We start from the raw sequence: 24,863 nt of genomic DNA on the forward strand, positions 1-24,863 counted from the left end.
TTAACCCCTGAGGAATGGAAGGGAGGGAAGCAGGAGTGGGCACAGAGAGAAGTGCATCCATACTGCAGGCCCAACCAAAGCCTCTTCGGATCCCAAGGGGAGCTCTGAAGGTAAAAATGGCCCATCAGAATCATTCCACCTTGGGCAGAGCAAGCCAGATGTTTGTGCCTCCTCTTGGATCAGTCCTTGGATGTGGTCAGTCTCTGCAAGTGCGTGACCTTGGGCAAGGCAGCTCCTGCAGCTCGGGTCATACCTGAAGGAACTGATGGCTGATGACTGGCATCCAACTGCTGTCCCAGCAGCTGAAGCAGAAAATCTGTCCTTGAAGGGGGTTTGGGGCGATCTACCTGCATGTCTGTCACAGCTTACTTCTTAAATGATGTTTGGCTAGGAATGCAACTCTAGCATGACAGCTATTTTTTCCTTTTTGGCCTCCATTTGTTGATGTATAGATACCTGCTGTCTATTTTGTACTCGTTTATAGGCAATGTATCTATTTTATGCTATTATGATATTTGTTTATCATTATGCTGTAGCTTTACTATGATGTGTCCAGGTGTGCTTCCTAAGTTTAGTGAATCATTTATCTCCCTAATTTTGGATACTTACCAGCCATTCATTTATTTACAAGTTTCTTTTCTATATTTCAGGAATCCTACTTGGATACACTTTGAAACAAGAGCAAACCAAAACACAATATACTTCAAATAGTTTGTTGAATATACAAACTATGATAGTTCAAATCTGAAAACTGGTACTTTTCCTCTTAAACTTCAACTAAGTAAAAAAGAAAAGAAAGAAAACTCCAGGTATTAGAGCTACCTGACAAAAACTGATGCTGAACCTGATCTTCCAAGTGACAGTGGAACTGAAACTGATGTGTCTGCACAGATGCCAGGGCTACATGGGTGGCACAAGTATGTTATAGCAAAAGAACAGGAACCAACTGTTAATTTGTCCACAATTAGGGAGCTAGTTGACTTTACCATATAAAATGTTTCATATGAATTCTACAACAATACTGTGTTATGTACAAGATTTTAAAAATTTTTTTGTTTTAATGGAAAAGCTTTACACAAACAAGCCATTAGCTCATTTCAAGAAAAAAAAACCCTAAAAATTAGTTTAAGGCCTTTGTTTTAAATCAACTTAAGCCATATGATACATATTTTTTTTATTTGCAGTGGATCTTTTCTCCTTCTTTCTTTCTTTCTTTCTCTTTTGTGCTTTCCACTTTCTGAAGCTTTTGGATCCATTCTTCAATTCACATTCTAAAATACTTGTACTGGGTGAAAATGCATAGTACAAAAGTTGGTAATTTCCCCCATTATCTTTGTGGCCTATAAAACTAGAAATTGATGAAGAAAAAAAAAACCCTGCTGATCAAGTTTGAACCCTCCTACAGAAACGATCTGAACAACTGGGTGGCAGAAGAAATTCTAGCAATTAAGTATGTGGAACACCCTCAGTAGACAGCCTGGACCTGCATGGATGAGTGCATTACCCCAACCTCAGCTTTGAGATGATGGAGCTGGATTTTGGCTGCATCCTGAACAATACTGAGGTCATTCGCTAGGTTACCATCACCAACTGCAGCCCCTTGGTGGTGAAGTTCCGCTGGTTCTTCTTGGTGAATTATGAGGAAAATCAGATAATGTAGCACCGGCATAGAACTCCCACAGGACTCTGCTGTTCATTTATTTTCTCTTTCAGGCTTTTCACTAGGTTTTCTGTATTCTGTGTACTCATCATTCATGAATATTTTCATTTTTGACAACTAATTACTGAGAAAATTAATAGGGGGATTAAAATCATGACTCTTTCTAGATTTCCTAACAGGAAACCTAGATAAAGCATCTTTGAAAGTCCCAATCACCACCGAATTAAGAAAACAATATCCATAAGCCCATTTTAATTTTGAATCTAGTGATAAGATCATTAGAATTTCATCATTAAAAAATAAAGTCTTTGTAGAGTTTTTTAAAAAACACCTGTATTAGCAGAGCCTTCACATAGCACAAGTTAAGTGAGTAGTGTGAGAACACAGTAATACTTGCTAATATGCATATAAAATGCATTAAAAGTTGCTATGTGTAACAATGAGATCACCTATCCCAACCCCTCCCCACTGAAAACTGTATAACCTCTTGCAGAATGTCAGTGTTTCAAATCTTAGCATAACTTGAGATAGTAGTGTGCTGCCTGGTCCCTTTCAATCCTTTTTCTTATTGAAGGGTTCAGTTGTTTTCCTACTGTAAGAGGGAGGTTTCTGTCAGCATCTCAATGCATGTAGTTCATTTCTCATTGACACATGGGATAGATAACTTATTTCCGGTAAGTTTCATTGTTTTCTTATATGCATTAAAATGTTTTAAAGTCTTCTTTGACTTTTCTTGATGACTTCCCTTGCAAGTGTTTATGTCAGTACTACCACTCACAGTCTGAAATCTATGGTGGGCCTGTCATTTTATTTCTCACATGTCAATAGTATTTCTGTTCTTATAGTTAGTTACTCGAAAGGCAATAGCAGAAGTCTCACTGACAACCGCTACTTGGGTCACTGTCTTATTTCATCTGCTGGTTTCTCTTCTACCAGTTGCAGTCTCCACATCATCTTTCTACTGGTTTTCCATGGATTCTGATTCAACCTTTTATGACTGCACTGACAACTTCAAGAAGAGTCTGGCCAGATGCCTGTTGAGTAGGCAGTGATAGTCCCATTAAAGGTGTACCATGCACTATTGAAACAGTGGTAAGTGCTCTCACAGCCGGGGGTTTCCAACGATGTTAATGATTTAGTCAGACTTGACTTCGTCTGCTACTTACACTGTGCAGACTTGGATGTGTAGCAGGGATGGTAATGAGTTTGGCAGGCTGAATGGTGATTTTGTCTCCGTTTTCAGTAGAAGCTGGCATCCCAGTAGGGTTTGCCTGAATGAACCTTTGGTGAGGCTGCTGCTGTCGGACTAGTGGTAGTTATTAATGGTGCACCTACATTAACTGACTCAACCGCCATAGTTGAAATTTTCTGATGTCATGACAGCAGGTACTTGCATTGCCACACATACTGTCCTTGGAGCTGCTGCTGTTGCTGATACAGATTTGGTAGTAGTAGGAGACCTGGAGGAAACATGGTGACCAGGGGAAATGATATTCACAACTCCAGATACACCCTTCTCTGCTCTGGAGAAGTTTATAGGATATGAGTTATTTCCACCACGGACAGAAGTTGCTGCTTTTAGGACACTCTCTGCAGACGGTGACACTGGTTTTAATGACTTGCATCAGAAGCTGCTGCTAAACCTTCATTACAAGTCTGGCGTTTGTCATTATCTATGACCAATCTGTTTGAGGGCATATCCTTGCACTGATATACAAGCCTCTGTCCTTCAGCCTTTGCAAGAATTTCCCTATGGTAGTAGGATCTCAAAGCACATCCCCTGGCTTCATAATTCATGTCTGGCTTGTTCTTATACTTTTCCCAAAGCTTACAGATTAGTGTTTGAATACAGAGGCTTAAATATGCCTTTTTCTCCCTGAGCCCATGTAATATACCTGGACAAATATTTTTCAACATTGAGGCTTTGCCAGAGTACACCAGAACCAGACAGTCAGAGCTAGGCTCTATCAACCAATCAGGGCTCAGTGGCATTGGCCAATCAGAGCTCAGTTGTGCAGGCCAATCAGAGCTCAGCAATTTCAATCCTTCGTTTGCATAAATGGACTTTATTAGGAAGTTCGGAGGGACTGTTCACATTAAACCCTACCACTCCCTTCAGTGTCATTGGTTTCATAGCCAAAGCAGCCTCTCCAGGGATTGCCAAGTGTTCACTGGCACAACAAGAGCTCTGTCCTCGGCTGGGCGCGGTGGCTCACGCCTGTAATCCCAGCACTTTGGGAGGCCGAGGCGGGTGGATCATGAGGTCAGGAGATCGAGACCATCCTGGCTAACAAGGTGAAACCCCGTCTCTACTAAAAATACAAAAAATTAGCCGGGCGCGGTGGCGGGCGCCTGTAGTCCCAGCTACTCGGGAGGCTGAGGCAGGAGAATGGCGTGAACCCGGGAAGCGGAGCTTGCAGTGAGCCGAGATTGCGCCACTGCAGTCCGCAGTCCGGCCTGGGCGACAGAGCGAGACTCCGTCTCAAAAAAAAAAAAAAAAAAAAAAAAGAGCTCTGTCCTCCAAATTCCTTTTCAGAGAACTTTTGTTCACACTCCTGTCTCCTCTGGCTCAGCCAATGACCGAATTACAGTCTCTGAGCCACAGTCACTGGCCAAAAGTGACTTCCAGTTTGGAGCCGGGGGTGGGGGAAGGGGGCGTGTGGTGTCCTGCACATTTTTCGTGCATTCTTTTCCGTGAACCAAATATTGTCTGCTCTCATATATCTATAGCGCAGTTTGCTCCAAGAGAATGTGGTGGATTTTCCACAGTCGTGGAGCATTTCTTCAGTTTCCTAAATGGTCATTTTTATTAGTTATTTTTCTAGGTTCTCGTTCATGGGCATGTTTTCATTTTACTCATATTTTCCTTTTTCACTCTCATGCTCTCTCGCGTGTATGGTGGGATTTTCCCGACTTTCATTGTGTGTGATGTGGCAACAGATCACGTCCAGAAGCAGTTACAAGAATCCAGCTGACTTTTCCTAGGTGAGAAGTCTGGGGGATTTTCAATTATCTAAAAGAAAGTTGATCACCACTCTACGGCTTTAGAAAAAATATTTTTCATATGCGTTTGTAATTTATGTTAACACGATGTGATAGGTTTTTTTTTGTTGTTGTTTTTTGTTTGTTTGTTTGTTTGTTTGTTTTGAGACGGAGTCTCGCCCTGTTGCCCAGGCTGGAGTGCTGTGGCGCGATCTCGGCTCACTGCAACCTCCACCTCCCGGGTTCACGCCATTCTCCTGCCCCAGCCTCCCGAGTAGCTGGAACTACAGGCGCCCACCACAACGCCCGGCAAGTTTTTCGTGTTTTTAGTAGAGACGGGGTTTCACTGTGTTAGCCAGGATGGTCTCGATCTCCTCACCTCGTGATCCACCTGCTTCGGCCTCCCAAAGTGCTGGGATTACAGGCGTGAGCCACCGCGCCCGGCGGTGATAGATTTTTAAGTATTACTTTAAAGTGGATTTTAAAATAAATTCATCAAAATTTCTGTTATAATAATTTTGAAGTAAATATCGGCAGATATAACTTACAGAAAAGATTTTGGGGTTCCTACTAGTTTTTAGAAGTGTAAAGTTGTCTTGAGAAAAACTGTTCTAGCTATTTAATCATTTGCAAGAGAATCAGATCAATTGAAAACACTGAGCCCCCGTTTTAGTGGTTAAGCCTTTTTAAAAGTCCAATGCCCAATATTCATCAAGACTTTGAAATCATACCGCTGATAGAAAGCTTTTTTGTCACCTTCCTGACTCCCATATGAATGTCAGTAGCATTTCATCCTCAAACATGGTGTTGGGCTTTTGTTTGAGGTCAGTAGCATCTTTTCTTTTCTAGGCATTTTAGGTAAAGTAAGAGATACCAAATATTCACACATGCCATTTTAGCAACCTTTGAGATTTACATTTTTTAAAAAAATTTCTTGGTTTATTCATATAAATCATGTTTATAGATTTTCTAATATTAAATCATACTAGCTTTCTGGGAAAGAAATTCCTTCCTGTGGGTGGCTTCCCTGGATATTAATTAGGTTCCTTCCTATGCCTCATCATGATGAAATTCTTGACCGTGCACAATCACCCAGTGGTTAAGCTCGGGTTTCTCATGACTTTCACACCCTTGGCCACTTGCTTCCTTCAAAAGCCCCAAGGCCCCGCTGTGTCCTGGGGGACTTCAGGTTCGCAGAAGCAGCCTGGATCCTAGGCTCAGCTGGGCTCCCTCTGCAGCAAGAACCTGGGCTGTGGTGTGGGACAAAACAGGGGCTAGGGAAGTGCGTTGGACCCCTTGAAGAGCCTTTCCTTCACCTGTTTTTGTCTGAGTCTCCAGCTCTCCACACCGCTCACATTTCAGGCACAGTTGTGCTGAGAGAGCAGGCTGTACTCAACCCTGCCCACCCTCAGCTATGGCAAGCTATGCATTCCAGGAATTCTTCTACACCTAGAAGATAAAACCACATGTTTGTCCCGCTAACTTTTCTAAGGTTTTAGATTCTCAGCTATCTACACACAATGGCCAAAGAGCCTCATGTGCTCGTGCTCCCGTCGCAGATGGAAGACAGGAAATCAAAAGATATCCAAGGAAGGGAAAAGGGTCAATAAGAAATTGGTACTCTCCAAAAGTCACACAAACATTAAACCATGAAGGGATGGTTTCCTGATCAGGAATGCAACCCATGATGTCGAGGTGAAAGCGCAGAATTTGAACTCAAAGGCTGCAAGGTGAAGTGGCCTTTGTTTTTATTCCCACAGGGGCAGTTTGAGCAGACACAAGAGTTTAACTTTCTTTAGGTCAGATTTTTTGCTCTTTACTTTTATCAAGAAGAGTTTTAAGGCTAGCTGTCACACCATTATGTGTCTTTTTATACATTTAACCTTTCTATCAATCAGTTAGTATAAGAACTCTCTAAAATCCTTTTAATAAAATTGAGGAGGCTAATTTAAGGGATCGATCTTTTGGCCATTGACAATTATAATTCTTAATAGTGTACTGAATTTCAATAGTGACTGGATGCAATAGGCTTTTCAGAGAACAAGTAATCCCAAAGATTCCCCCTGTTCCCAGACATAGGCTAAAAGTAACAAATGACTCCTGGGATTGCTGTTTACCAGCACTCGCTAGCTAGACCAGCGGTCCCCAACCTTTCTGGCATTTTCTTGGAAGACAATTTTTCCATGGACTGGCATTGAGGGGATGGTATTGGGATGATTCAAGGGCATTACATTAATTGCACACTTTATTTCTATTATTATTACATTGTAATATATATTGAAATACTTATACAACTAACCATAATGTGGAATCAGTGGGAGCCCTGAGCTTGTTTTCTTCCAACTAGACGGTCCCATCTAAGAGTGATAGGAGAGGATGACATATTATCAGGCAATAGATTCCCATAAGGAGTGTGCAACTGAAGATCCCTCACATGTACAGTTCACCAAAGGGTTCTCGTTCCTATGAAACTCTAATGCTGCTGACCTGACAGGAGGCAGAGCTCAGGCGGTAATGCCAGTAGTGGTGAGTGGATGTAAATATAGATGAAACTTCTGCTGCTCGCTGATGCTCACCTGCTGCTGAAACGGCCCGGTTCCTAACAGGCCACGGACCTGTATCAATACCTGGATTATGGGTTGGTGATCCTTGCTCGAGACAATAAAGTTTGAGATGACAAAAGCCCCTTATGGATGAGACTTCTTATGACAAATCCTGCCGAGAGCTAGGCACATTCAGAACAAAATAAAATCTCTCCGCTTCCCAGCGAAGAGATTTGTTAGACCAGACACCTGCTTTGACCCAAAAATCACTTCCCCTGGATGGTGGCAAGCAAGAGAGAGTGCTTCCTCTTGCTCACAAATCAAGCTCTCAAGAACACAGATCAAGACAAGAGGGAACTTTATCCTGTAACCCTCTCTATGAACAACACAGAAAGACAAAGTCAAAGGAATACACTGTTTCTGGCATGAAAGGGATAAAAAATGTGAATATTCATACCACAAAGTAGTGTAAGGTGTACCAGAGTTGCTACACCTAGACCAGTCACACAACAATCTTTTTCTCCTAGGCATGAAACCTTGTAGAGGAGACAAACAGAGGGATTTGTTTTGTACCATCTGCCCAACTGGGTTGTACAGAGAGAGAAGCTGGGGGCCTGACTGGTAAGAAATTCTTGCCCTTTTGCCACCTTGTCAGATGACTGCATTCCCTTAACTTCAGGTTCCAGAAGAGTGGAGTGGCTTTGGTGACCCTTCTTGCTATACCAAATTGTGTGAAGGTTTGCTAAGAAATCAACTCACAAAAGGCAGATTAACAAGAGAAAAAGCATACAAGGCCGGGCGCAGTGGCTCACACCTGTAATCCCAGCACTATGGGAGGCTGAGGCAGGCGGATCACGAGGTTAGGAGATCGAGACCATCCTGGCTAACACGGTGAAACCCCGTCTCCACTAAAAATACAAAAAATTAGCCCGGCGTGGTGGCGGGCGCCTGTAGTCCCAGCTACTTGGGAGGCTGAGGCAGGAGAATGGTGTGAACCTGGGAGGGGGAGGTTGCAGTGAGCAGAGATTGCACCACTCCAGCCTGGGTGACAGAGCGAGACTCCGTCTCAAAAAAAAAAAAAGCATACAAATTTATTTAACATATATACACTGCAGCCTTCGGAGCAAAGGCAGAAAGGTACAGGGTAAATTGTCTATTTATATGCTCAGGTTCAACAAAGTATGGACAGCCCTGTAGAAATATGATGGGACAAAAAGGCTAAGACCTAATGCTAATCCAGCAGGGCTTGTTTGTCTAGACTGTGCTTGGCTTCTGTGAACACAGATTTCTTCCTCCTGGGTATGGGGCAGGACCCTCTCTGTAATGGGGTCTTGTGACCTGCAGTCAAACAAGGTCAGATCATTTCTTTATGACCAGTTTTACACAAAAAAGGTGGAGGAAAAATTAGAAAAGTATTTTTAGGCTTTGTGACTATCTTTAGAAAAAAAGGCTTCTGGTTTCTAGGACCCACCTTGGGGAAGAGGGATTCTGGTCTGTACAGTTAGCTCCCTGGGAAGAATGGGGCTGACAGACAGGAGGACCCAGGACCTCAGAGAACATCTTTTACATCCGAGACTACTTCTGGGGCCTTTATTTTGGGGTATCATGCTCTGAGCCCCAACAATAGAAGTCAGCTGCATGTGCAAGTTCATCACTTACAATTTTTACTTTCCTCAAAAACACTAAGAAAACAATACAGACCAAACCTTTGCCACTGTAAAACTAGGATTGCCTTTCCTCAAGCTTCCAGTAACATCTTCCTAGTTTCGGTCTCATAACTCACCACAAGCACCTTTAACACTCATAGCTCTAGCAACATATCGGTGATCATGATATATGTATTCTCTAAGTCAGAGATCCTTTGTCTGCAGCAAATAATTCTTTTCTTAACCCTCACTTGAATTGCATTTGGTGTCCATATTTCCCCCAGCCATCTCCTAAAGGCCCTCTAGGCTTCTTGTGCCATGCATGTCAAAATGCTTCCAGTCTCTATCCATTATCTAGTTCCAAAGCTGCTTCCACTCTTTCAGGTGTTAGCTATCAGATCTGTCTGGCAACAGAATCCCTATTGGTTTGCTCTGTTAGCCTGACAATGTACCACAGACCTGGGTGGCCTAAACAGCAGACATTAATTGTTCACAGTTCTGGAGGTTGGAAGTCCAAATCAAAGCGTCAGCTGGGTTGTTTCCTTCTGAGTAATAAGAGGGAAGGATCTCTTCCAGGGATTTTTCCTCAGCTTGTAGATGGCCCACTTCTCTGTATGCTACTTCACATTTTCTTCCCTGTACACATGTCTCTTTGTCTGAATTTCCCCTTTTGATAGGCACAATGCACGCTAGCCATTTCGAGTTAGAGCCCACCCTAATGAATGTAATTTAACTTCAGTATCCCACTAAAAAACCCATCTTCAAGTAGGAGAGAGACGAGGGGTCAGGAGTCCAATAGATGTATTTGGTGTTTTTTTTTGGGGGGGGGGACACAACTGAACCCATAGGACATAGGAATCCTGAGTTGTAGGTGGGAATACCTCCTGCCTCTTCCATTATGTTAAGAGAACACTGGTAACTGATGAAGGGAAAGAAGGTGACTCCTACCCATCTTTTTTCAAGACTACTTGAATGTTGAGTAATTTTATACACACACACACGCACACACACACACATTTATATATATATATATATATATATATATATATATATATAAAATCTGGTTTATTCCATTAAATTCTCTAGGTATAATGAGAGTGAAAAAGCTAAGGAACATTGTTAGAGATATAATGTTGATCTGACTAATCCTTATAAAGGGAAACCTAGGAATATAAGAGACAGAAATGACCATGTAGTAAAGGGATTAAATGGAAAATTATTAAATGAAAATTATTACTGTCCTTGAAGCAAGTTGCGCTATAGATATATTAGAGTTGACAATGTTTAGTTCTCGGAAAAAGAATGCATGAAAAATCTTCAGGACGCCACAGGCCACCTGCCCCTCCCCTTTACTACCTCCCCCCGCAAGAGGTAATAAGAACCCATTAATCTCATGACCTCAGGTCTCAATCACACACCCCTTTGTCAAAGTTTACCCCCGTTATTTCTCAGATTCTTACATGAGCTCGGAAACTAGCGTTCCCCTGTATTTTACTTGCAGCCTCTCAACAGGTGCCTGCCTTGAGAAAATTAGCCTCTGGGGTAGAGTCGACTTTTGTCCACTGGGGGTCGCAGATCCCAGTCCTCAGGGCCTCAAGACTGTGCCGCGAAGGAAGGAAAGGAAGGGTTGGGAGCAGCCTCTTCTGAAAACCTGATACCTCCCCTCCACCGCCTCCTCTGTCGCCAGGCGGAAAATTCCCTCTCCCATCTTCTGAACACAAGCCAAAGTGCCTCCTGCACTCCCGCCCCCCGTACATTTCCTGCGGGAAACCGTCGGCCTACCAGCTCTGCAATCAGCCGCACAGAATTCAAATTCGGATTCGGCTTTGATGACCTGCCGGAGAGAAAGGGACTAGAAGTTGGATGACCTCCCACCCCCATATTCCTTCCCAGGAAGAGATGAGGAGATGCAAAAGGGGTTCAAGACAGCTTGCGATCGTCTTCTCCCGCCCCTTGCCACCTCCCCGAACACCCGCCCCCGACGCCCGACAACACCCCCGCCCACTTCAATCCAGGCAAATCATAAATCCTACCCAGTCGGCAGCATCCAGATGAGCCACAACTCCTTTCTCAGCGCAACCAGGCCATGGGAGTGCTCCATCCCCTGCCTCGCAGTTACTGATTCTCCAAGCCGGGCGCCGCCCAGTCCTGGTGGGGCTTCCCCCACCCCTCTCCGCGCCGGGAAATCGCGCGCTCTTTCTTTACCTGCGCTCCACTGGTGGGCAGCGTATGCTCCCGCGTCGACAGCTCTGTTTCGCCTTCCGGTCCCCATAGCTCTGCAGGGGAACAGGATCGCTGGCGCCTCCTGGGCCGCTAAGCGACCCCGGGGCTGCCCGGCTTAGCGAGTGCTTCGCAGAGAGGTAGCCGAGTCGAGGCAGCGCGGTTCCCAAGGAAGTCACGGCTGCGGCCACCCTCCAGTTCGGACCTCCGGGCAGCCGCGGTTGCTTTCAGTCTCTGCCCATTGAGACAAAAGAGCGTGACAAGCCGCGCGACGCGGCCAATCAGCGGGGCGAGGAGGCGGCCTACCCAAGCAGCCTCTGGCCCTGAAGCTACTGCTAGCAAGACTCGGGAGCTGGCTGGCGGGGGCTGAGGCCGACAGGCACGGGAGCCGGCGCGGCGTCAAGTGGAGCTCGGACGCACGGACCAGGCCCATTTCCCTTTCATCTGTGAGTTTGCTGCTACCCCGTCGCTTCCCTTCTCCCCATCCCCTTCCGCCTCGGCTCTGCTCCGGGCTTTGAGACCGGATGCCTGAAACACGAGGTGGGACAGAAACCAAGTGAACAATGAGAGTTCCTTACCTTTGTATAGGGGGAAGGGGGGAAACAGCATTTACTGAGTGCTTTCTGTGTGCGGATGCGCCTGTCTCCTTTCTTCTCAGCAGCCCTGTGAAGGAGGTAGCAGTGTGCCCACTTAACAGGAAAGGACTGAAACACCCAGGCGGTACAGTTAGGAAGTGCAGAGCTAAGAGCTCACTCCCAAGTCAACATATCTGACTTCAAAGGCTACCCCTTGCCAACACTCCTCTATTCTGTTAGATTAAGGGATAGCGGAGAAAAACCAAAGCCAGGATGGGAGGACCAACTTGGGACTGCATAGAATTAGTGAGCAAGAACTGTTATCTCCATTTCACAGATGAAGAAACTGAGCCAAAGACAGAGAGGTTAAGCGTCTTGCACTGTATCCCGCAGCAAAGAAGTTACAGCATCCAACTTAGCACCTGTATGTTGCTCTCTAGATGCTAATTGTTTGCCCTGCAGCATTGTCTGAAGAGCACTTTTGCACAGGTAGTCTCAAACCATCTCAACAGCAGTCTCAATGTGATGATAGTGCTGAGGGAGGGGGTGAGGAGGTAGTAGGGAGAGGGCTGAGGGAAGATGAAGGCAACCTTTATGGTGCCCATTGTACAGAAGAGGAAACTCTTCTTGGCACTCTTCTTTCCTTCGTTTTTTTAAAAATACTTTTTTTTATACTACAAAAAGCTGCCCTTTTTATAAAAGCAACATAATTTCGACAGCCCTTTGTGACGCCAAGGGAGGCAAGGCTCAGAGAGGTAAAATGATTTGTCTGAAATTACAAGGTGAAGCCAAAATTTGGACCGAATCTCTGAATCCAGAACTCATACTATTAACTAAAGTGAGTAAAAAGTGGGCTGCCTCAGAATCATTTTGGAGAGCTTGTTATAAATGCAGATTCCTGGGCCTTACCCCTGGGGGATTTTGATGTACTAGGACTACAGGTAAAGAGTGTGATTTGTAGTTTTAAACAGCCCCATAGTTGATTCTGAGGTGTAGAGAGATTCGTGAACCACTGTTCTAAACACCACCACGTGATGCTGAAGGTTATAAGTAAATGGGCCTGTCATCAGTGTATTTGTCCATGGCATATCTGTTATGAAATGTAACTCCAGAGCACAGGTTCCTACCCGCGGTCCTTCCTGGAACTGTATGCAAAGAATCTGGACTCCGTACATTCTTCTGAGTCCACAGCTTTGCAGATTTTCAAATGGGTCTGTCATAATGTCTTCCTTCTTCAAGCCATGCTTGATGAAGAAGTGTGAGAAATCAAACCCCATTTAACCTAACCCCCAAACCACAGCTCTCTGTTGCTGATATGGCTCTTTCATTTCCTGGCTCAAGGACAGGTTGCTAGGTTGCCCTTCTGTGAGCTCTTCAGGGGACTTCTCCTTTGCTGGATTTGGCATCACTGGCCCCAGAGAAGGAGCAACTCCATGGAAACAGCATGCAGGGCTGTCCAAAGTGAATGGCCATGAAGGCAGTGGCTGGAAAACCTGCTCCATTTTTCCCTGACTTAGAGAGCAGGTATTACTTCCTTTATGTATAGTGTGGCTAGGAGGCTCCTGTGGGGCCTGTTCTTGACTCCTGATGCTTGGAAGCAAGTGAACAGTCTGAAGCCCTTCCACTGCCGTTGGCTTCATCTTCAGCCTGCCAAGGCACTTCACTCACTCATTTCCACCCTCTTATTTACAACCCCAAGATGTAGAGTTCCTTGGAGTAAACAATACAGATTTGGAGATGAAGCACTTTCCATCTCAGGATTGTGGCCTGTGGATGGAACAGTGGGGTAGTGGTGGTGGAAGGTGGAAAGTGTGGATGTATGGAGAAGGCAGGTTGCTCACCTCGCACACTTAGGGGTGATGGTGGCAGTAGCTCTTAGGTTTCCTTCAGACTTTTGCTTCTGCTCCCCTGTCCCGTGACATCTGACTCTTGCCTCCCAGAAGACTCTTGTTCAGTGTTTAAATTGGCTTTATCACCAAATTAGGTATTTGCAGCTGGACTTGGTAGGGATGGAATCACATAAGACCAAGAATAGGTGTCAGAGCTCGGACAAAAATAATGACAGGAAATGGATTGTGTAAAGGTGCCAGAGTTGGACTACTGGAACAAAGCGAGAGACATTTTGTGCAGGGATGGGGGGAGTATTTGCAACCTGGCTCCAATTGGATACAGGACATCCTATCTCTGGCCTCATGTGTGTGAGTCTGTTCCAACTGATGGCTCTAATGAGACCACATTTTGTAATTTTAACACATAAACCTTAGAAGCTTGAAGGTTTAGAGATAAAGCTTTCAGCTGAAACAATAATAGCTGCCTTTGGCTGCCTTCCTCCTTTGTACCAGGAACTTTCTATCTGTTATCTCATTTAAGCTTCCCAGCAACACTGTTGAGACAGCCATTGTATCCCATTTTGCAGAGAGGGAAACTGAATTTCAGGGATGTTAAGTAACTTGTGTAAGGCTTCACAACTTTTAAGTGCAGGCACTGGGATTGCAGGCCAGGGATGTCAAACTCCAAAGCCCATGAAAACTCTTCTTTGCTGCCTTCCAAACAAGCAGTCTAAAAGGCATTCTGCAGATAACCCAGTTCATTAGACCGATTGCAGCTTTTAGAACAATTTAGTTGTTATCTTGCCTTTATTCCTATTATCTCTCTCTCTCTCTCTTTTTTTTTTTTTTGAGACGGAGTCTCCCACTGTCACCCAGGCTGGGGTGCAGTGGTGCGATCTCAGCTCACTGCAAGCTCTGCCCTATTATCTCATTTTTATTTAATTTATTTATTTATTTATTTTTTATTAGTGCTATACTTTAAGTTCTAGGGTACATATGCACAACGTGCAGGTTTGTTACATATGTATACATGTACCATGTTGGTGTGCTGCACCCATTAACTCGTCATTTACATTAGGTATATCTCCTAATGCTAACCCTCCCCCCTCCCCCACCCCACGACAGGCCCCAGTGTGTGATGTTCCCCATCCTGTGTCCAAGTGTTCTCATTGTTCAATTCCCACCTATGAGTGAGAACATGCAGTGTTTTGTTTTCTGTCCTTGCGACAGTTTGCTCAGAATGATGGTTTCCAGCTTCATCCATGTCCCTACAAAGGACATGAACTCGTCCTTTTTTATGGCTTCATACTATTCCATGGTGTATATGTGCCACATTTTCTTAATCCAGTCTATTATTGACGGACATTTGGGTTGGTTCCAAGTCTTTGCTATCGTGAATAGTGCTGCAATAAACATGCATGTGCATGTGTCTTTATAGCAGCATGATTTATAATCCTTTGGGTATATACCCAGTAATGGGATGGCTGGGTCAAATGGTATTTCTAGTTCTAGATCCCTGAGGAATCGCCACACTGTCTTCCACAATGGTTGAACTAGTTCACAGTCCCACCAACAGTGTAAAAGTGTTCCTGTTTCTCCACATCCTCTCCAGCACCTGTTGTTTCCTGACTTGTTAATGATCACCATTCTAACTGGTGTGAGATGCTATCTCATTGTGGTTTTGATTTGCATTTTTCTGATGGCCAGTGATGATGAGCATTTTTTCATGTGTCTGTTGGCTGCATAAATGTCTTCTTTTGAGAAGTGTCCATATCCTTCACCCACTTTTTGATGGGGTTGTTTGATTTTTTCTTGTACATTTGTTTAGGTTCTTTGTAGATTCTGGATATTAGCCCTTTGTCAGATGGGTAGATTGCAAAAATTTTCTCCCATTCTGTAGGTTGCCTATTCACTCTGATGGTAGTTTCTTTTGCTGTGCAGAAGCTCTTTAGTTTAATTAGATCCCATTTGTCAATGGATCATTTGTTGCCATTGCCTTTGGTGTTTTAGACATGAAGTCCTTGCCCATGCCTATGTCCTGAATGGCATTGCCTAGGTTTTCTTCTAGGGTTTTTATGGTTTTAGGTCTAAAATTTAAGTCTTTAATCCATCTTGAATTAATTTTTGTATAAGGTGTAAGGAAGGGATCCAGTTTCAGCTTTCCTCATATGGCTAGCCAGTTTTCCGAGCACCATTTATTAAATAGGGAATCCTTTCCCCATTTCTTGTTTTTGTCAGGTTTGTCAAAGATCAGATGTTTGTAGATGTGTGGTATTATTTGTGAGGGCTGTGTTCTGTTCCATTGGTCTATATCTCTGTTTTGGTACCAGTACCATGCTGTTTTGGTTACTGTAGCCTTGTAGTATAGTTTGAAGTCAGGTAGCGTGATGCCTCCAGCTTTGTTCTTTTGGCTTAGGATTGTCTTGGCAATGCGGGCTCTTTTTTGGTTCCATATGAATTTTAAAGTAGTTTTTTCCAATTCTGTGAAGAAGGTCATTGGTAGCTTGATGGGGATGGCATTGAATCTATAAATTACCTTGGGCAGTATGGCCATTTTCAAGATATTGATTCTTCCTATCCATGAGCATGGAAGGTTCTTCCATTTCTTTGTATCCTCTTTTATTTCGTTGAGCAGTGCTTTGTAATTCTCCTTGAAGAGGTCCTTCACATCCCTTGTATGTTGGATTCCTAGTATTATCTGATTTTTAAAAATGAAATTACTAATATAACTTATGGAACAACTTATATACCAGTTGCTGTGCTAAGCACTTTCCATACTTTGTCTCATGCATCCTTCATGACAATCATTTTACATATATAGATACTGAGGATCAGAGAGATGCAGAAACTTGGCCAAGGTTATAAAGCTAGGAAGTGACAGAGTGAAATTCAAACCGAGGGCTGGCTGAATCCAGAGCCCATGTCTGTGCCCTACAACACAATGCAGTGGGGAAGACAAATGTGGTCCTCATTCTAAATGGGCTCCTCTCTGTCAACCACAGCTCTATTTCCTTCTCACCACATGGGGTAGGCCATCCCCATGCACAACTCACACTTTTAAGCCTATGTGCCTTAGGCTACTTTCTCAGCCTAGAATGCTTGCCCTCACTCCTCTACTTAACAAGATCCTATTCTACTCTACTCAGTTAAGGACTGTGTCATATGCCCCTTCTCAGAGAAATTTCTTGGTTGCTCCCCGTCCCAGGTGGAATAAATTGCTCTTGTCTTTTTGCTTCCACCTTCATTAGTGTACCCTTTATTTTGTCTTTCTGTAGAGTTTAGCTCATTGTTTACCCGTCTTCCCTACTAGGTTCCCAGGCACTTGAGGGCAGGCACCAAATTCTATTCACTCTAGCTCCATGGTGGTTTACCCCCAATGATTTAGTGGATGATCAATACATGTTTGTGAGCAGACCAAAGGACTGGGTGAGAGATGTCCCCAATGAACAGACAAATGCATTCATTTGTGGCTGGATCCTGGGGCAGTCACACAGGCTACCCATGTGGACTAGACTGGCTCGGACAGTCTGGAATCCCCTGGGCTCATTTTACTAGGCTGTAAACATAGGAGGCAGGTCAGGGTACAGGTGATATCTTCTCAAGGCCAACTCTAGGTCCATTCGGTGGTCTGTACTTTGAATTCATGTCAAGGGGCCAGGCTCTCCTAGATTATTTATGTTGCACCTTCCCATTCGTGGAAGAAAGGGCTTCCCTGCCTCCCTTAGGAACACAAAATGTGTTCCTACATGCCTCTTTATCTGCTTCTGGCTGTCCTGAGAGTGTCTGGAAGGAGCATGTGCTCTGTGGAGACATAGTGAGGTCCAGAAGCATCTTTTTTTTGGATATCTTTTATCGAGGCCACTATATTATGGATTCTCAACCACTTTATCTCATTTTATGTTACTAATCTCTGCCACAATGTTTTGAGGTGGGTCTTAATGTCCTGGTTTTGTATCTGAAGAACCTGAGACTGAATGAAATGTCTTGCCCAAGGTCACACAATTAAGTAAGTGGCAGAGGCAGTATTCAGTCTCGGGTCTGTCTGCCCTTTCCAAAGCCTGGCATCTTAATAGAAAATACTTTGGAGAAACTTGATCTTCACTCCCATAAAATGGAAAGGATTGGATTTATACAATGGATTACATATTTAAGGTGAGATGTTTCTCAATTATTGTTCACTTTTGGTCCCCCAAAATGATTTACAAAAATGGCAGAAGGAGTTGGGGATTGAAAAGTACAATTTCTCTATCAACTACTGGCCTGAATGCCCCCATGTCAACCCCCTCTGACAGATATAGTATGGAGATGACTACAAATTATTTTGCCCTTTCTGCTCCTTTTACAGCTCAGGTGGGTAAGGCTCCAAGATGTCATTGAATTTCTAAAGGTCACACATCAAGTTAATAACAAAACTCACTTAGAATGCTGGTATCTCATACTACCCCACTTGCTTCCTGGCCTTTCTGGGGTTGGTACAATAGTTGGGAGTCCTTGCACTGCCAAATCCTAGCCCAGTTTTCTTTCTGCTAAATCATCCTGCCTTATGGCATCAGTGAACACATGTTTATAAATGGCAGGGAGGAAGTGGAACATTATTGCGCTCTGAGGTAGAAGAGGGAACAAACATTTACCTCACTACCTGTACTTATTTAGGTGCAGGTAAGATTTGGGAAAGAAGACCTTTGGTAGGAGAGCTGAGGACTGTTGGGGGCTCCTGTGGATTTAGTGGCCTGGGTATCTGGGAGGAGTCCCCTTTGGCTCTGGAGAAATGGAAGTGGGGCTGCCAGGGGCTAGAGGTGCCCCAGAGGGATGCAAATAGTGGGCCTCTTGAGCTTTTACTCCTGCTCAGTTCTCAGCTAAAGGGTAAGAGGCAGAGGGACCCTCCCAGTGTACTGGCCATGAGCGTTAAGGAAGCTGAGGCTTAAGGCCATCATGGAATGCGGAGGAGGGGGAGGTGGTGATGGGCTGAGTACAGGAGGCTGAGCCTCCATGTCTCTCCACCAAGAGGTGAGTGTGGCTCCAGGGGAGGGGAGTGGTGGTACAGTGAGACTGTGGGAAAATGGATGGAGCAGGGTGGTATGAATGAGACTGTGGGGATATGGATGGAGTGGGGTGGGGTATGAATGAGATTGTGAGGATATGGATGGAGCAGGGGGGATAGAATGAGACTGAGGGGATATGGATAGAGTGGGGGGTATGAATGAGACTGTAGGGATATGGATGTAGTGGGGGGGATAGAATGAGATTGAGGGGATATGGATGGAGCAGGGGGGATAGGATGGGATTGTGGGGATATGGATGGAGCAGGGAGAAGGGGCTAGGGAAGAGCAGAGCTAATGGGAGTGATTCTGGAAGGAGTAGCACGCCAAGGCTGATTCTGGGCCTGGCAGCCCCGGGAAGGCTGCATTAGGCTTCTTGCAGTGTGTGGCTTCTACTCCTCCATGGGGACCTGATCCTGGACTCTGTGGTCCCCCATTGGCCTGCTAGCTTAATTAGAGTCCCAACCTTCATGCCCCCCATCACATAGCCCAGGGTTCGGTGGGAAACCTGTGGGTCTGCTGTTCCTGCCAGGCTTCCTGTCCCTGTCAGTGTAGATGGAAGCCCTCCAGCCTGGCCATCATGTCCCTCCCCCTCTCCCCTGTCTTCCTGCCCCACACCCACACAGCTCTGTGCTCTTTCCCTGAGGTTCCAGCTCTGGCTGCTGCACCCCCTGTCTCGTCATTCCAGGGACCCCCTCTTTCCTCCCCGGCAAACTCCCTCAGATCTGCTCTGAGCATTCATTTTTTTTCGATCCCAAAGTTCCTTCATATGTCCTGGCTTCCAAGTTGCTTCTCATACTAGCCATCTGCTTCCTGGCCTTTCTGGGGTAAGGAGCAATAGTTTGGAGTCCTTGCACTGCCTATTCTATCTAGTACAGTGGTGCTGAGCTGGGAACAGTTTTGCCTCCCTGGGGACGTTTGGCAAGGTCTCAAGATATTTTTGGGTCATCATACTGGGTATGTCACCACAGGTGCTACCAGCACGCACTCAGCCGAAGCCAGGAAGCCTCTGAATATCCTCCAATGCACAGGACAGGGACCAAGAATAAAAAATTATCCTGCCCAAAATGTCAATAGCACTGAATTTAAGAAACCCTGCTCTATTATATAGCTACAGGTCTACAGGGTTAGGTTTGGAAATTGCCAGGTGCTCATCCTTTAGGCACTGAACTTCCAGGAGTAGCTGCTCTTTCCCTTCCCCACTTGCTGGAGGGGGACTGGGCATAGCCATGAAACAGCTACAACTTGGGCAGGAATCTATGGAGAGAAAAGTGAGGGGAGATTCCCCTTACCCAAATTTAATACCAACTTTTAGAGAAAGCGTTGCACTTCAACTGTTAAATGCCTTTCTGCCTCTGCAAGATAGTGCCAGGTTTTTTTTTTTTTTTTTTGAAACAGAATAGCAACTTATTATTCTAGTAGTTTATAGAATGCACAGTTTTATGTCGTGAAAGTTGATGCATTAAGTTTTGGAGTCTTCCCCTCCTCTATTTCATGTTCTTCAAGTAATCCTTCTTTGAATATTGGAATATTTGCTGTGTCAGCAAAATACTGTAGTGGTGGCTCTGTCCAGAAAAACCGATTGCCTTTCTTTTAATTTAAGGTTAATGAATTCTGAATTTCTTAAGGGTGTGCTTATATATCAGAAACTGGCTCAAAGAGTTGCTTGTTTCTGTCGACCTGAGTTTCTTAGGGTTCATTTCCAATTAAGCAATGAGAATGCTTGCCAACGGAATTAATTGGTCGCTCTAATCTCTTTTTTTCCACCCTTGCCAGTTTCTTCCACCTGCACCCAGTTGTCTTCAGCATGGGGGAGCAGAACCACTCTCCCAGGAAGGAGCTTCAGCACAGAACACAAGCAGAGGCTCCAGGAAAGAAAAGCTGGCACTCCCAGGCCTATGCCCTTGGGGCTGTTTCCAACTCTATGTCTACTTTTCTGACCTTTCCTATCTATAAGGTTGTGTTTCGGCAACAGATCCATGCCATGGCAGTGTCAGAGGCTGTGAGACACTTTGGCACGAAGGTCCTCAATACTTCTACCGGGGAATCTACCCTCCTCTTCTCTCCAAGATGTTGCAAGGGACTCTTCTGTTTGGGACTTATGATAGCCTGCTGTGCTTTCTCTCTCCTGTTGGGCCACACACCCTGGGACGCCACTGGGCTGCAGGGATCATGTCTGGCCTGGTGGAGGCTGTGGCACTCAGCCCCTTTGAAAGGGTGCAAAATGTGCTCCAGGATGGTTGCAAGCAAGCTCGCTTACCCAGCACCTTCAGCATTCTTGAGGAATTCAATTCTTATGGGCTTTGGGGGCGGCTGTCACGGGGCTACTACCATGGTTTCTGGCCTGTCCTGGCCAGGAACAGCCTGGGGAGCACTCTATATTTTTCTTTCCAGGACCCCATGCAGGATGGCCTGGCAGAGCAAGGCCTGGCCCATTGGGTTCCTGCCTTGGTGTCTGGTAGTGTCAATGAAACAATCACCTGCCTAGTTCTGTATCCTCCGATTGTGCTGGCTGCTAATATGCAGTCCCATATTGGATGGCAGAACATGCCAAGCCTGTGGGCCTCTGCCCAGGATGTGTGGAACACTTGGGGCCAAAAGCTTCTCCTGATCTACCGTGGAGGCTCCCTGGTCATCCTAAGGTCCAGTGTGACATGGGGCCTCACTACGGCAATCCATGACTTCCTGCAGAGGAAGTCACACTCCAGGAAAGAGCTGAAGACTGACTAGCTGCAGAAAGTGTGGCCATGCCACCTTTGTTATTCTGAATCTTCCCTGGTTGGTTCTATATAGCTTACTTCTTTGGCTCGGTTGCCTAATACAGCCATCTTTTAGCATCTGTAAACTCATTGCATGGGAGAAGTTCCCAACTACCAACCTGTTGAGCAAGGACAAAGCCCAAAAGTATTCCTTAGTCAAAAAGAAACGTTCGCCCCAGTCTCTCCACAGCTTCAGTAGCCTCAGAGCCAGGAGGCCTTTAAATAACGTGTAACCCAGATTAAGTGTCATTCCTTTAAGGAATTCCTTGGCAATAAACAGAAACTTAAAAAGATAACCTTACTTAGGCACTCTGAGCTCTGGGACCCCTCTAGGTGTCCTCCAGACCAAACTGAGTGGAACTCCAATTTCAAAGAACTGTGCTTGACTCTTAGGATGGGAATTCCATAAAACTTCTCAGATGGCTACATTTTCATGATATTGTTCACTGCCTCTACCACCACCTCTCACTTCTCAAGGCTGTGGGTCCTACTTTCAGGGTAGCAGCTGTGGCTGGAAATCCTAAATTAGGCTTGCATGAACTCGTCAGGTGCCACAAGAACTAGTGGGGCTGGAGATGGGAATGGGAAGAAGTGTGACCCATGGATGGAAATGATAAAACTTTGAAAGAAGAGATTTAATTACATGCAAAATAGAAACATTTGCTATAGTCTGCTTGGTGTTATCTGTTAGGACATTTCTGAGAGCAAGGTGATAACATTGCCCAGAAACGATTTGAGTTTCCCCAAGAAACCTGGAAGTGAAGTGACCATATCTCTTCACAGATAATTGCATATTTTTAAAAATTATTTTATTTTATTTTATTTTATTATTATTATACTTTAAGTTTTAGGGTACATGTGCACAATGTGCAGGTTAGTTACATATGTATACATGTGCCATGCTGGTGTGCTGCACCAATTAACTCGTCATTTAGCATTAGGTATATCTCCTAATGCTATCCCTAATAATTGCATATTTTGTTGATGTGGTAAATGTAGTTAGTATGACATAAAGATCAGAAATCTTAGCCTGTCATTCAGAGCCATTCAAAATATGCTCCTTATATAACTTTCAACATATTTTCACTCCACTTACATAAACCCCAAACACTAGCCATAATGAACCTTGTTCTCTCCCCAAACATTCCATGAACTTTCCCATGGCCATACTTTGGCCCACACTATTCTTTCCACCTGCAGTGCTCCTTCTTCACATGCCAGTCTACCAAAATCCTTCCAGCTCCTCGAAGCCCAGCTCAGAGGTCACCTTCTCTTTGGAGCCTCTTGATTTCCCCCAAGTGAATGTGACATTAGTCTCTGTGATGCCCCTTTCTAACAGCACTTCATAGATGGTACTGATTCTGTTATGTCACTAATCTCATGTGACCCTGTGTTCTTGTATTCTTCAATACCTCCCACTAGACCGTAAAACTTATTGAAAGCAGGGATTCTTGTATGCATTTTAAAATCTTCCATTGTGCCTAGGTGCTCAATAACATTGGTCGAATTACTGAATTGATTATCAAGCTCTGATGTGGTATAGCCTCCGGTTGCTGTCCCTTGCACATGAAGATAAAGTTATTGACTCACTGTCAGTAAGACACATGCCTTGGAGCTGTGTTTTTATTTTCTTTTAATAGTGGATTTAGTTTTGTGCTAATGATAATGATGCTGTTGATAATAATAATAATAATAATAATAATAATAATAATAATAATAAATTACTTTCAACTGGAACATTTGATGGGTTTGTGTTACTGATGGCATATTTGCTATTAGCACCAGTTCAGGAACTGAAATTTCACAAACAGATTCACAATATATAACAGTCCCATTTGTTTCAACTCTGGGATTTTGAGGATTTCCAAGATGACATGTGTTATAGTTTCCCCCTACAGATATCTCAGTAATGCCCTCCACTTGCATCTCCTTACTGAACCAAATTTGTCCTGTATTTGTCTTACCAGGTTGTAGTTCTAGCAGTGAGAACTTCTCACTGAATGCCACAGAAATTAAAGACACAGTTGTTGGAGGTATGATGTCAGACAGCATTTGTCACCAAGGTTGGCAGAAAATGGCTAGTCCAGGAGAGTTGAAAATGAGCTTCCACATCTGCAAATCGGGATGTGTTGGAACAGTACTCAACTTGTGGATTCAAGGAAGTATGAACACAGAGTCTGCATAAGGAAAGGAAAAAGATGCATTTATCTCCTAATTACACTGGTGATTTCCACTTATGTCACTCTGTACATCCATGTCCCTTTCTTCATTTTAACTTCTTATTTAAAAATAATTTCAAACATTTAAAAATGTTGCAAGCATAAATAAAGCTTAAAGAACACCCATGTCCCCTTTACCCTAATTCCCCTATTATTAATGTTTCTCCCCATTTGCTTTATTATTTAAGTGTGCACTCTGTCTATACACACACAGGATATTTTTTCCCTGAACTGTGAATTGCATACATCAATTTTCAGTATTCCTCGATTCAATGTTTGCAAATCCAAATTCTTTTAAAAAAGACTGTGTTTTATCTCTATGACAATGGAACCGTTATTGCAGAATATTATAAAATGAAAAGTCACATGGTATATGTGATACTGTGAAATATATATTTGCTCTTCGATCCTGTTTCCTGGCATGCAACTCTTAAAATCCTTAGAATTTCCAAAGTGATATCTTTTTGTATGCTAATAATTGACTGATGGCTGGCAGCCTCTGGTTGCTTCAGGATGGGAACTAGTCACCAGAGAGACCAAGGCGCCATTAGAGGGTTGGGACTTAACAGCCTCATTCCCGACCTCCAGGGAGGGGAGAGGGGTGGAAGGTTAAGTCGATCACCAGTGGCCAATGATTTAATCAATCATACCTATGTAATGGAGCTTCCATAAAATCCCCAAGGAACTGGGTTTGGTTAGCTTCCAGATAGCTGAATATATGGAGGTTCCTGGAGGGTGGTGACCCAAGGAGGGCATGGAAGCTCTGAGCCCCTTCCCCAGTACCTCACCCTATGCATCTCTTCATCTCTATCCTTTGCAATATCCTTTATAATAAACTGGTCAACGTTAGGTATTTCCCTGAGTTCTGTGAGCCTTTCTGACAAATTAATCAAACCCAAAGAGGGGGTCATGTGAACCGAAACTTGAAGCCCATCTGTCAGAAGTTCTGGAGGACTGGATTTGCGACTGGTGTCTGAAGGGCCTGGGAACAGTCTTGTGAGACCTAGTCCTCAGCTTGTGGGATATGACGCTATCTCCAGGTAGATTTGTGTCAGAATTGAATTGGAGTACACCCAGCTGGTGTTTGCTGCAGAACTGATTGCTCACTTAGTGTGTGGGAAAACCCCACACATTTGAACATGGAAATATTCTTTGTTGATTGCCGTGATGTGAAAGCAAAGGAAAAAGTTTGTGTGTTTTCCCCTCAGAGCATATTTTAAAGCTAAGTTGCTAATAATTGCTTAAATTTACTATATTTGCCTTTATAAAAACTTTATGTATGTTTAAAGCTTGAAGCTATTCAATTATAATATAAACGTGGATTTACAACTGAAGCATGTTATAATTTAAATAATTGAGTTTTACAAATTGGTTCATATAAAATCCTAGGC

The 24,863-nt window shown here is 44.2% G+C and overlaps 1 protein-coding gene, 1 long non-coding RNA gene and 2 pseudogenes across 4 annotated transcripts in view, besides 1 other annotated feature; 2 read left to right on the forward strand and 2 right to left on the reverse strand.

The window, feature by feature from the left end:
* TMSB15B-AS1 (TMSB15B antisense RNA 1) overlaps positions 1–11,753 on the reverse strand; it is a 37,802-nt gene extending 26,049 nt beyond the window's left edge. Inside the window, exons 1-4 of one of the 2 annotated variants that reach the window (NR_146557.1) lie at positions 11,630–11,753; positions 11,037–11,285; positions 10,614–10,665; positions 10,292–10,430 (exon numbers count right to left, since the gene is read on the reverse strand). This is a non-coding gene — a long non-coding RNA (TMSB15B antisense RNA 1). Of the gene's footprint in view, positions 1–9,615; positions 10,431–10,613; positions 10,666–11,036; positions 11,286–11,629 lie in introns of those variants that run through there. The other variant, NR_146556.1, reaches the window with a different exon arrangement.
* Positions 629–3,571, reverse strand: ELF2P1 (ELF2 pseudogene 1; annotated as a pseudogene).
* TMSB15B (thymosin beta 15B) overlaps positions 11,360–24,863 on the forward strand; it is a 55,272-nt gene continuing 41,768 nt past the window's right edge. For both annotated transcript variants that reach the window (NM_001350213.2, NM_001350211.2), the window contains exon 1: positions 11,360–11,497. The gene's annotated coding sequence lies outside the window, so the exon portion shown is untranslated. The remainder of the gene's footprint in view (positions 11,498–24,863) is intronic.
* Positions 11,679–11,768: an enhancer, noted in NCBI's record as "active region_29824". NCBI's record gives its function as "activates an Ori minimal core promoter by ATAC-STARR-seq in GM12878 lymphoblastoid cells {active_cell/tissue: GM12878}" and the evidence as "EXISTENCE:reporter gene assay evidence [ECO:0000049][PMID:35858748]".
* Positions 20,269–21,421, forward strand: SLC25A53P1 (SLC25A53 pseudogene 1; annotated as a pseudogene).

This window comes from Homo sapiens, chromosome X (assembly GCF_000001405.40).
Source record: "Homo sapiens chromosome X, GRCh38.p14 Primary Assembly".
In the NCBI taxonomy this organism is placed as follows: Eukaryota; Metazoa; Chordata; class Mammalia; order Primates; family Hominidae; genus Homo; species Homo sapiens.